The sequence below is a fragment of the Homo sapiens genome, chromosome 9 (assembly GCF_000001405.40).
Source record: "Homo sapiens chromosome 9, GRCh38.p14 Primary Assembly".
Lineage (NCBI taxonomy): Eukaryota > Metazoa > Chordata > Mammalia > Primates > Hominidae > Homo > Homo sapiens.
The window spans coordinates 71,933,926-71,947,797 of NC_000009.12; the positions used below are offsets into that span (position 1 = coordinate 71,933,926).

A 13,872-nucleotide genomic window follows, 5' to 3' on the forward strand; every position below is an offset into this window, starting at 1 on the left:
GAAAATATTTGAATCCACCTATGACCTGTGTGCTCCCATTTCAAGATGCCCCTCCTTTTTAGGTCAAGCCAGTGTATAATCTCCATATATTGATTTATGACTTTGCTTGTCACCTGCCTTTAAAAACCATTACCTGGGCTGGGCATGGTGGCTCATGCCTGTAATCCCAGCACTTTGAGGGGCCAAGGTGGGCAGATCACTTGAGGTCAGGAGTTTGAGACCAGCCTGGCCAACATGGTGAAACCCTGACTCTACTAAAAATACAAAAATTAGACAGGTGTTGTGCCAGGCACCTGTAATCCCAGCTACTTGGGAGGCTGAGGCATGAGAATCACTTGAACTGCACTCTAGCCTGGGCAACAGAGCAGGACACTGTCTCAAAACAAACAAAACAAACACTGTCTCAAAACAAACAAACAAAAAATCCTTACCTGTAAGCCATCTGGGAGTTCAGGCATGAGCTGCCCAGTTCTCTTTGTTTGGCGTCTTGCAATAAATGCCTCACTTTCTCTTTCTGCTATCAGTATTTGGCTTTGCTGAAAATTTAAACATGTTTTTGCATCAAAAGACACTTATCAACAGAGTAGAAAGGCAGCTCATAGAGTGGGAGAAAATGTGTACAAATCATATACCTGATAAGGGATTAATAGCCAGAATATATGGTCGAGAACAGTGGCTCACACCTGTAATCCCAGCACTTTGGGAGGCTGAGGCAGGTGGATCACTTGAGCCCAGGAGTTTGAGACCAACCTGGGCAACGTGGCAAAACCCTGTCTCTACTAAAAAACACAAAAGCTAGGCAGGTGTGGTGCCTTGTGCCTGTAGTCCCAGCTACCCAGGAGGCTGAGGTAGGAGGATTGCTTGAGCCTGGGAGGCAGAGTATGCAGTGAGCCAAGATGGTGCCATTGTACTCCAGCCTGGGCAACAGAGCAAGACCCTGTCTCAGAAAAAAATATATATATGCAGAATATATAATACTATAACTATTACTCAACAACAAAAGAAACAGCCCAATTCAAAAATGGGCAGAGGACCTAAGTAGACATTTCTCCAAAGATATGCAAATGGTCAGTAAGCACACAAAAGCATGCTCGTCACTAATCACTGGGGAACTACAGATGAAAACTACAAGATACCACCTCATACTCATTCGGATGACTATTATTTACAAACAAACAGAAAGTAACATGTTTTGAGGCTGTGGCAAAATTGGAACCTTTGTTTATTACTCTTCGTGGGAATATGAAATGGCACAGCCGCTCTGGATAACAGCATGGTGGCTACTCAGAAAATTAAAAACAAAATCATTATATGATCATATGATTTCACTTCTGGGTATATCCCCAAAAGAATTGAAAGCAGGGTCTTAGAGATATTTGTACATCCATGTTCATAGCAGCATTATTTACAATAACTAAAACCTAGAAGCAACTGAAGTATCCATCTAGGGAAGAGTAGATAAGCAAAATATGTTATATACATACAGTGTAATATTAGCCTTAAAAAGGAAGGAAATTCTGACATATTCTACAGCATCAATGAACCTTAAGGACATTATGCTAAGTGAAATAAGCCAGTCACAAAAAGCCAGGCGCAGTGGCTCACACCTATAATCCCATACTTTGGGATACTGAGACAAGAGGATCACTTGAGGCCAGCAGTTTGAGATCAGCCAGGGCAACACAGCGAGACCCTGCCCCCCGACCCAAAAAAAAAAAAAAGACAAATACTCTGTAATTCCATTTACATGAGATACTTAAAGTTGTAAAATTATACAGACAGAAAGTGGAATGATCGTTGCCAGGGGCTAGGAGGAAGGGACAATGAGAGTTATGTGTTTCAGATTTGGAAGATGAAAAGAGTTCTGGACATGGATGGTGGTGATGGTTGTACAATATGAATGTATTTAATACCACTCAACTATACACATAAAAATCGTTAAGTTGGTAAATTTTATGCTCTGTGTATTTACCAGGGGAGAAACAGAAAAAAAATAACTGTTGGCTGTTTGGTCTCACTCCCTCCGTCTTTACTCTGTAACCCATCTTCTGTTTGAGAGGCCACTTCAGTAATACAGATTATATAAGGAAGTAAAGAGATATACAGGTGAAAGAGGAAGAAGTAAAAAAAGTGACCTAAGTTTTTTTATCTAAAGATTTTTAAAGATGAGGTTTGGGACACAGGAGGAACAGATTGTATTGCTAATTGAGTGATTGCTGTTTGGTCTTTGAATCTGAGGTGTCTCAAGGATTTCTGTGAGGAGAAAAATGGGTATCTTGCCTGCAATCTGAGACATCAGAACTTCCAGAGACATGAGTTAGCACTAGGGACATAGTTTTGGATGTAATCTTCGTTGAGCTCATTGCTGAGGCTGTAGTTATGCATTCAGTTGACCTGGAGAAAATAGTGTCAAAAGAAGGGACTGAACAGGGTTGAGAGAGAAAGTTGATGACTAAAAGAAGGAGATGTATTGGCAAAACATCTTGAGAAGGAACAAATGGGATTGAAAGTATTACCCTACTTGTAGAGAGTCTTTTTTTTTTCAGGAAAGACATATTATTTCTAGATAAAGTGATTGGCATTCAAAATTTTGAGGAAGGAAAGGTGTGCTTCCCATATTACTGCTGCAACAATATAGCTATTTGTTTCCATTTACATGAGTTTTTCTTGAGTTATTATTTACTACGAGTGACTCATAGTTAATAATGAAGATAGTTCAAAGATAATTTTAAAACATTGCATTGTAGATCCTTTCTTAAAAATATTTTCTAATGTTCATAACACGCCTTGCTGAATTGGAATGGAGAAAATTAAAAATCTTCATACTAGAGTTCTTTGTTCAAGCTTTTTTTTTTTTTTTTTTTGAGACAGGGTCTCACTCTGTCACCAGTGGTATGATCACAGTTCACTGCAGCCTTGACCTCCCTGGCTCAAGCGATCCTCCCACCTCAGCTTCTGGAGTAGCTGGGACCACAGGTGTGCACCACCTTGCCTGGCTAATTTTCATTTTTTTTGTAGAAACGGGATCTCCCTGTGTTGCCCAGGCTGGTCTCAAACTCCTGGACTCAAGTGATCCTCCCATCTCGGCTTCCCAAAGTGTTGGGATTATAGCCCTGAGCTACCATACCTGGCCTGTTGAAACTTTCAAAGTTGCGATAGATTTATCAGCGCAGTGTTTGTTAGAATGCTTCGCAAATATTTATTTGTTAAAATACAATGCCAACCTATTTTAATTTCCTTAAAAGTAAGTGAGAAAAATATACTTGGGAAAATAAAGTTGCTTAAATAGGTTTTCTCAACTGCCAGAAAAAGGTACTGCCACAGCATGTTTCTGCCTGTAGGTAGGTGTGGCTCCACTTTGTGTATGCATTAGGTTTGTCAGTGAAAATCTCGGTAGTTTGCTTGGTTGCTGAAATAAATCAGTGGTTAGTTTGTACACAGACCCTGTCTGCATAATTGCAACTGAATAGCTTTGCCCACTTATTGAAAGAATGGTTCTCTGTTTGGGATGATCAGAACTCATTTTATATTCAGTCTTTGGATAAAAATGTGATTGTTCATTTTTGTAGATGTCATTTGTTAAAGATTCTAGCAGTAACAAGGAAAATGGGAGGAGGGAAATATTATTTCTTGACTAGAAAAAGATATTGTGAGTATATTGAACAAGAGGATCATTTTGAGTATTTCTAGTATATACTTTCACTTCTCAGTTTGTTATTGGTGTTTTAAAAACTTGTGATGAATTTAGAGTGAATGGGAGCAAGAGGGACTAAACTTCAGAGAATATTATTTTAGCTCACAGTGCAGATCTATATCACCTATACTTTAGATATCTTTTAATTAAATTTTTATAGATTAAAAATCAAATATTACTGAAATATTGATATATGTGTGCATATCAGGTTTTTTAGGGTAATAAATTTGCTCAACTTGGACTTAAGTTTTTGTGAAGAATTCTTATAAGTGTTGATTTCTCTCTAATTAGCTATGTGGAACAAACGTAATTTCCTAAAAAGAAGTAAGCTAGTAATAACTTTGATTTTATATTTCTCCTTAAATGACAAACCAATTTTACTACCAGAACTCATTTCAAAAGTATTTCTGGGCTATTTGTATGACTAGCTCATTTTGTGAAATAATAAAATACATAAAAATAGTAAGGCTCAGTAACTTGTCCAAATAAGGTATTTTTGAGGATAGTACACATGCAAATTATTACTTCATATCACATTTTAAAAGGGCTTATAGGTTTGAAAGTTTTCATATAGTAGGGGTGTTCTGTCTGTAGGAAATGTAGTAAGTTGATTATAGCAAGAATTTTAATTCCTTTCTCAAAAAGGGAACTGTCAGTGTCTTCTATTCTTTTAAAAAATCTTAACTGCCAGGATAAAAAAGCGAAGCAAGTTTTTACGGACGGTAGTAGGAAACATTTGCCTCACTATCCAAATAATTATGTGTACTCATTCTAAGTTTGGTCATTTTTTTAAAAATATAAGTCAGTTGAGTTGAGTAATAATGCACAAATTTGAGACTTGTTGTATACTTTATTATAATAGCAACAATGTTTACAAAATAAAATCATTTTGTAATGATTTCTGTATTGATACAGTGGCAAATAAAACAAGAACATGAACTATTTTTTTCTCTTATTCTTATCCATACATGTAAACTCTTTTTAGAGAAGCTTAATAAAGAAGTAGTACACACTTGACCAAAGAAAGGGGACATTTATTTTTTACTATGAGATTTTGCATCTAATAAAATTGCTTGTATTTTCTTACAATGTTGTTCATATGGAACCAGAACTTGTTATGTATAAATATAATGGGATGAGAATTTACATGTTTATTAGAAGTTTTCTGATATTTATAGGCCAATATATTTAAAATATATATATTCAGAAATTGGAAACATTTAAACTGTCAAAGAGTAGATAATAGGTTAACTAAATGATGGTATTACTCTGAGAGACTATAGTACATACAATAAAGACATGCTTTGAAAGTATATATATTAATATGGAAAAATGAATGTTATAAAACAACATATGTGGAAAAAATGTGAACTTATGTAAATATATACTTGAAGTGCTGCAAAGTGTAGAATCTCTGAGTGATAGGACTTGTCTTTATTCTTTATCTGTATTTTTATAAAATTTCTATATTTTGAATATTTATATGTAAAGACTCGTTTTAGCTCTATAAAATTGATCTGTAGAGGTATTTTTCATCTATAAAAGTAATAAAGTCCAGTAAAAAATAATATATATATACAATGCTATATTATTGTATGATTTTCTTATGTGTGATTTTCTTATTATTGTATGACTTTCTTCTCTTGTGCTCTTCTAAGTTATATAAATTCTCCAGCACCTGAGAACCAAAACAGACAAAACCAAAACCAAAGACATTGGAAAAAAAAATCCAAATTACTATAGAGTACAATTCCTCATGCATATATATTCCAAAATCATTAACCAAATACTAGCATATGGAATTCATCAATGTATAAAAAGGACAATATATTACAAATGACTGGGGTTTATCTAATAAGAAATGGAATGTTCATGGACTGAAAGATTGAATGTTGTTAAGATGTCAGTTCTTCCCAAGATTGATTTACAGTTTCAGTGTAATCCTAATCAAAATCATAGCAGGGTTTTTTGTTGTTGTTGAAATCAACAAACAGATTCTAAAATTTATATAGAAAAGCAGAGGAATTAGAATAGCCAAACAATTTTGGAAACAAAAATAGTTGGAAGAATTGAAGTACTGATTTCAAGACTTACCATAAAGCTACAGGAATCAACACAGGGTGGTATTGGTGAAAGACTAGACACATAGATTAATGTGACAGGATCTGAATCCAGAAATAGACCTTACACATACTTAATTTTTGAGAAAGGTACAAAGGCATTTCAATGGTGCTGGAACAATTGTACATCTGTATATAATTTTAAAAGAACATCTACTTGGATTCTGCACTATGTACAACCAAAAATTAACTCAAAATAGATTATAGACTAAATGTAAAATGTAAAATTACTGAACTTGCAGAAGAAAACAGATTAAGATCTTTTTTATTCAAGAGTCAAAAAGTATGGTTCATGAAAGAAAAAAATTGATAAATTGTTCTTTGAAATTAAAAAGATCTGCTCTTAGGAAAAACTATTAAGATAATGGAAATGAAAGCATGGATTGGGAGAATATATTTGCAAAGCATACATCTGATAAAGGGCTGTTAATCCAGAATATATTAATATGTAGAACTCTCACATCTCAATAATAAGAAAATGAACAATTTAAAAAAAAAAGACGCAAAAGATTTGAATAGACACTTAACCAAAGAAAATACAGGGTGGGGCCAGGCACAGTGGTTTATGCATGCAATCCCAACTACATGGGAGGCTTAGGCAGGAGGATCACTTGAGCCCGGGAATTTAAGGTTGCAGTGAGCTATGATCATGCCACTGCGCTCAAGCCTGGGCAACAGAGTGAGATTTTGTCTCTTAAAGAAACAAACAAACAAAAAACCCACGATGGCAAGTAAACACATCAAAAGATGTTCAACATTATTAGTTATTAGAGAAATGTAAATTGAAATCGTAATGAAATAATACTACATACCTATTTGAATGGCTAAAGTAAGAAATAAAATTTCAAGTGCAGGAAATAATGTAGAAAAACTGGATCTTCATATATGGCTGGTATGAATGCAAAATGGTACAGCAACATTGAAAAACTAATAGTTTCTTATAAAATTAAGCATTCCATTATACAACCCAAAAATATCATTCCTAGTAATTAACCTAAGATAAATAATATGTCCACACAAAAACTCGTATGCAAATATTTATTAGCACTCCAAACTAGAAACAACTCCAACTGTCCTTTAATTGGTGAATTGAATAAACATTATGGTAATTTATACAATGGAATACTATTCACCAATAAAAAGGAATGAGCTCCTCAAATGGCTATATACTTAACCATTTCATTTACACAACATGCTGGAAAAGGCAAAACTGTAGGAGCAGATTTGAAATCATTATTACCTGGGAGGTAGTAGAAAGGACTGACAACCAAGGGGAATTAGAGAACTTTTTGGAGTGATGGTAGTATTGGAAGTTTGGTTGTCAGATTCATTAGAACTGTATACTTAAAATGGGTGAATTTTTTGATATGTATGTACTTCTCAAAACTGATTTAAGCTGACGATCTTTTTTAAAAAATTAATATAGAAAGAAAAGAATTCAAGTTAGCATTCTTCATCACTTAGTAAAATGAATGATTCAGGCAAAGATCATGAGTGGATGCCAAAACCATGAGGGAAAGTGTTACTGTGGTACAGTACATTAACATGGCCTCCATAGATTATTGTAGCCGTTGTAATTTGAAGAGATCTGGGTCACCACCTTAAGCAAGTTATCAAATTCAGCATTGCTGACAAGGCAAGAACTGGACAGTATGTGCCTCCTGACTTGGAGTAATAGGAAGTACACAACAGTAGCAGCATCACCTATGAATTATTCTGATCCAAAAAATATTTAAACTGGATATAGTTAAGCCTGTAAACCTAACTTCCACTTTACAGGAAATAAAGCAATGAGTTAAATTACAGCATGAGAAAATGGACAAATCCAGAATGTAGGATATTCTCTAAAATGACTTGCTTGTTACTTTCAAAAAATATTCATGTAATAGGGGAAAAAACATACATAGGTGAAAAGAGAGATAACAGATATACAGTACTTGAATACGGATTGATCCTGATTTGGAGAGGAAAAAACAGCTCTGAAAGCTGTCTTGGAGAAGTTGAAATTTCAATATAAACTGACTACATTCAGTGACATTAAGGAGTTATCTTTCATTTTTCTTAGGTGTGGTAACAGTATTGTGGTTAAGCACGAGAAGGTCTTTATTGCTAGGATATGATGAGTATTAAGAAGTGAAGTGTCTTGATATCCATAAGTTATTTTACCTGTACCCATACACACAAAAAGCAAAAAGGTAAGAAGATGTTAATAGTTGTCTCTGGGAGTGTATATATGTATGCATTAGTATTATTGTTTCCACTGTTTTCTGCAAGTTTGACATTTCTCATAATAGAAGGGAATGCTTTTAGAGCTAAGTTGAGAGAAATAGTGTTTATTGAAGATGGCCTTATTATATGTAGTGCATTCCTGCAGATCCTATGACTATCAGGGATCTGTACCTACATTGTACACCTAAGAATAACTGTATTGCACTCTGTTTTGGCATTGTAACACTGGCCTACATTGAGAACCAGGATAGAAAACAGTTCTGTGAAATGCTTTGTGTTGTAAGGACATTTTTGCGAGCATCGCTTACTGTATCACATGGTATAGGAAAGATGAAACTTTGCACTTCAGTAACAAGAATACTTGTGCTGCTTCTGAGAAACTGGATTTTTGGCATGTTACAGACAATGAGTTATGTTTTACTGGGTGCTAGAAAGCTCAGATTTCATTTGTGGCCCATCTCTAACAAGTGCACTTTCCAGCTGCACTCCTGACTGCTTTGTAATTTCCCTCCTGCCCTTACTTTTCTCTCATTCTGATTCCCTCCTCTATTTTTTGGTTGTGTTTTGTAAGATACTTTATGTCCAACAATGTTCTAGCCATATTTAAAGGAATTTAAATAATGTAGTTTATGATTTGAAACTCACAGGCTAAAGCCAGGTGCTGTGGCTCACACCTGTAATCCAAGCACCTTGGGAGGCCAAGGTGGGCGGATCACTTGAGGTCAGGAGTTCGAGACCAGCCTAGCCAACATGGCAAAACCCTGTCTCTACTAAAAATACAAAAATTAGTTAGGCATGGTGGCGTGTGCCTGTAATCCTAGCTACTCAGGAGCCTGAGGTAGGAGAATCACTTGAACCTGGGAGACAGAGGTTGCAGTGAGCCAAGATCATGCCACTGCACTCCAGCCTGGGCAACAGAGTGAGACTCCGACTCAAAAAAAAAAAAAAAAGGAAGCAGCAGCCTAAAAGTCAGATTTTCACATTATTGTTATTAGTCACGTGAGTTCTTGCCCCCAAATCCAGGGATCTTTTATCCTCTAGCCAAATTTAGAATAAGGGACTCTTTCCAGCAAATTTCAAAGTACCTACTTTTAAATATGATTAAATAAGATATAAAAGTTTCTATTTCTGGAGTAACATTGTTACAGCAGTAGTGGCATAAAATACCTTATTTTAGGAGAAGAGTACTGCAGGGAAAAGAACAAAGCCAGTTTATGGAAATAGATTTTTAGCATTGGAATTGGCATTGGCATTTTTCTTTGAGAATTTCATTTTTTTAATTCTGTTTTTGTTTGTTTTTTGTTTTCAGTTAAGAGGAGTAAACAGGCCTTTGTTTTACCTTTGGCAATTCTGAAAGAATTATGTACAAAAAAAACCTAAGGAAAAATTATTTTAGTTGCTTTTGAATGGTATTCAAATTTCTTTTCAACTACCGTAGTATCTTCCTTCTGTTAAATGATACTTTATAAAATATTTTTCAGCATCAGCATGTTGATACAGATATAATATTTACAATTTGCTCTTGCTACCTTCTTGGGAGTTGAAGTCCTTTCTCGCCCAGCTTCTTTTTTTTGTTTTTTGTTTTTTTTTTGAGAAGGAGTTTCGCTCTTGTTGCCCAGGCTGGAGTGCAATGGCACGATCTCAGCTCACTGCAACCTCCAAATGCCAGGTTCAAAGGATTCTCCTGCCTCAGCCTCCAGCGTAGCTAGGATTACAGGCATGCGCCAGCACCCCGGCTAATTTTGTACTTTTAGTAGAGACGGGGTTTCTCCATGTTGGTCAGGCTGTTCTTGAACTCCCAATCTCAGGTGATCTGCCTGCCTCGGCCTCCCAAAGTGCTGGGATTACAGGTGTGAGCCACCGCACCCGGCCCTTTCTCACCCAACTTCTGTATGGCATTACTGTGTTAAAGATATATTGTTTGACAACAAATAGAATGCTTAAAGCAGCAATAACAACACTGACTCTAAAATATATGTTGTATAGGCCGGGTGCGGTGGCTCACGCCTATAATCCCAGCACTTTGGGAGGCCAAGGCAAGTGGATCACTTGAGGCCAGGAGTTCGAGACCAGCCTGGCCAAATGGCGAAACCCCATCTCTACTAAAAATACAAAAATTAGCTGGCATGCTGGTGCACGCCTGTAATCCCAGCTGCTCAGGAGGCCGAGACAGGAGGATTGCATGAACCCAGGAGGCAGAGGTTGCAGTGAGCTAAGATTGCCCCACTGCACACCAGTCTGGGCAACAGAGTGAGACTCTGTCTCAAAAAAAAAAAAAAGTTGTAGGAATGATGGCTAAGACATTTTTAAGACGTTATGTATATATTAAGTAGGCATGTTTTTTGATGTTCCTTAAGTTTATTCTAACTTTGAAAAGTATTCATTTGATAAGTAAGGGTTTCTTCTTTCACTGATTCCTAAGTTCAGTGGACTCTTCCACTGAAGATTTTTTTTTTCTTCACAAATCTGGAAAGTAGCTTGTTGAACGAACTAAATGACCTTTATAGGCTTTTGTATTTATAAAACTTTTGATTTTATATTTGGACAGACTTAAGTTTTAACCTTAATTACCTATGATCTTCTACCATGAGGGATACACTAAAAGTAATTGCCAAAATAGGGTTAATTGTAAATATAAATGTGAATAAGGTTAGATTGTCATTTCCTTCCCCCCAGGCAGAAGGATTCCTAGAACTAGGATTAACTTTCTTTGCTCACATCTCTGGAATTCACTTCTGTTTTGCCAAAGAATGGTAAAACAGGTATATACTTTTCTTTCTTCTGCACCTATTTTTAAGTGAAAAGTACTATTCTTTCTCATTCTTACTCTCATTAATTTCTTAACACATAAAAATCAAGTTTAATTTGATAGTAGTGCCTGTTAGTCATATGAACCCTGTACAACATATCTATTTATACTGCTTCACACATCACTCACAGGACAAGTTCCCACAAAGACCTGTTTTGTTCTACTGTTGATCCACCCTAAAGAAACCAGTTTCCAAACTCTGCACAGCTTTGTAAATCAAGATGAACTGGTCAGAAATTGGATACAGAAACAAACAAGGAACCAAAGAATGCTTCCTAGTTAACAAGCAGAATGTGTTATATACAATAAAATTGCAGGTAGTGAAATGTCTGTGTTCTAAGAATGTTCCAATTAGGAAGTTAATATCACATTCATATTGAAGTCATAGTTCAAAGTCATTCAGTTAAGGAAATATAAGTAATGCTTAGTAAGATGTTCTAGACGACAGAGAAGACAAATGATGAATGTGAACTTTGCTTCTGCATTTCTTAGCTAGCTTTGTCCATGATAACTATTAATAAGTACAAAGGTTGAGAGGACGAAGAGTTTGGTGTGTAGGCACAGATTTCCTTCTTTCTGGCAACAGTTAGGGGCCTAGAGTAAGCAGGGGATATAGTAGCATGCAGAACTGGGACTCTCCATCTATGTCCAGAAGGAAGGAATGCACCCATACACAATTTGTAAGTAACAGAATGTATTTCTCATCACAAAGTTAAACATAATATATTCACACTTCCTGATGGTGAAGATTCCTTGAAGAAAGAGAAAAATTAAATAAAATGAAATATATTCACAGCTTAATTTATGGTTTTTCACAATATTTCTAAAATATTTTCTCATTGAATAAATGTTTTATCAAATATTTTATCTTTTTGTTTAGAACTTTCAAGAATATCAAGCGCTGTTCAAAAATTGTTTCTTTCAGATGATCTGATGTAAACATTGTGCTTTTAACTTAATATCTAATAGCCTCCCAAAGAATCTGCATACTTGTGGTGCATTTCTTTCTCCCCTTGAGAAATTTTAAAAGAAAACAAAAGAAGCAAAGAAAATTTTAAATGTCTTCTGCTCATTATTCCAACAATAGGCAAAGACCAAGCTTTCACAGCCAAAGCAAACTAGAGAATTCTCAGAGTACTCAGTGAAAATATATAGTCTGTGTCCTGAATCAAATGAGTATGTTACAAAAATATAAAACTATTAGAGAAAATACATGACACATTTAAATTTTTCCTATCTTCCTTCTTTCCCAACACATTTTGAAAAGAAAATTACAATAAAAAACTTTTCCTTATAAAGCCCTTTCTCCACTACAGATATTTACATACAAATACATATTATTTAAGTTTGAAGAAACCAAGTTAGTAGGGGGAACTTTTCTAAAACTTTTTTAACATGAGAATTCAAAAGCATAAAACTGAAAAATGAAATGCCTTTTTGCTTCCAGCTGCTTCTCCCTGGCACCCCTTCCTCAAATTTCAGTCTCTGTTCTCTTCAACAAACTGACAATTCAGGACAGCCCAATTTCTCAGTTTAATTCCAACTCACGGGGAGGATTTGAATTGTTGAAATGATAGTCTTCAAATATGAGCAAGGTTTTCTTTTCTATTATTATGTTTTTATTGAGATATAACTTACATACTATGAAATACACATATCTTAACTGTGCAGTTTTGAGTTTTGACACATATATACATCAGAATCAATGGGAAGGTTAAAAATTTTCTAGATGAGGGCCAGGCCCCAGTGGCTCATGCCTGTAATCCCAGCACTTTGTGAGGCCGAGGCGGGTGAATCATGAGCTCAGGAGTTCAAAACCACCCTGGGCAACATGGTGAAACCCTGTCTCTACTAAAATACAAAAAATTAGCTGGGCATGGTGGCACGCGCCTGTAATCCCAGCTACTCAGGAGGCTGAGGCAGGAGTATTGCTTGAGCCCCAGGAGGTGGAGGTTGCAGTGAGCCAAAATTGTGCCACTGCATTCCAGCCTGGGCGACAGAGTGAGACTCTGTCTCAAAAAAAAAACAAAAAAAAAAGAACGATTGCCTTTGTAAGAAAAAATAACAAATTGAGTAATATACATAAAAATACATAATATATCATAAATTGTTATGCAGATTAAGGTTCAGTTATATTTTAAAACTTACATCTCATACACTCTTTTATGGGATTTGCAATGCTGGCTCACGCGTGAAATTCTCAATTTGTCTTTCTGTTTGTTTTTAAGAAAATTAATGCAAAACTTCATGATGGAGTATGTCAGCGCTGTAAAGAAGTTCTTGAGTGGCGTGTAAAATACAGCAAATACAAACCATTATCAAAACCTAAAAAGTGGTGAGTTAAGATTCTTCATTACCTTACTTGGTGGTATATGTATCATAGTTTATTATTTCATTTCCTGATTTTCAAAATTGTGTCCAAATAAATGTTAAAGTAAATGATGAAAAAATTCCATTCTCCCCTGTAGAATTTCATCTTGTGTGCTGAATCTTGGTTTGTGAAGGCCGACAGATTTAAAAAGTTAAATTCATCATTTCCTGCCCCATTCTTTCATAAATATGCATCATTTTTATAGAACTTTATTCATGAAAGGTGGGTTAGGGCTGAGAAGAGAGTATTTGTTTTCTACAATTCTGTCTTCCACTGATAAGGTAATACTATGCACCATAAATTATCAATTCTTAAAACGGATCAGACCTTTAGACCTTTTAATTCAACTCATGAAGATTACAGAAATGGCTGAGGTTAAATATTAGAAGTGAATCACTAGATTGATAACTTATTATTTCTTTGGGAATAGAGGTCTAAATGAAAAGATACTAGATTTTGTTTCTGATCCTGCCATCCCTAAATCCTTTTTTTTTTTTCTTTCTTTCTTTTTTGAGATGGAGTTTTGCTCTTGTCACCCAGCCTGGAGTGCACTGATGCAATTTCAGCTCACTGCAACCTCTGCCTCCCAGGTTTAAGCGATTCTCCTGCCTCGGCCTCCCAAGTAACTGGCATTACAGGCGCCCACCAC

At 35.6% G+C, this 13,872-nt stretch overlaps 1 protein-coding gene across 11 annotated transcripts in view; it reads left to right on the top strand.

Annotated features, from left to right (window-relative positions):
- C9orf85 (chromosome 9 open reading frame 85) overlaps nucleotides 1-13,872 on the top strand; it is a 74,420-nt gene that overhangs the window by 22,287 nt on the left and 38,261 nt on the right. For 10 of the 11 annotated variants that reach the window (NR_157408.2, NR_157409.2, XR_007061245.1 and 7 more), the window contains one exon: nucleotides 13,081-13,187. Coding sequence is in view for 7 of the 11 variants with exons in the window: in NM_001365053.2 (NP_001351982.1) it covers nucleotides 13,081-13,187 (107 nt within the window). In the remaining 4 variants the exon portion in view is untranslated. Of the gene's footprint in view, nucleotides 1-7,879; nucleotides 8,010-13,080; nucleotides 13,188-13,872 lie in introns of all 11 variants that reach the window. The other variant, NR_157410.2, reaches the window with a different exon arrangement.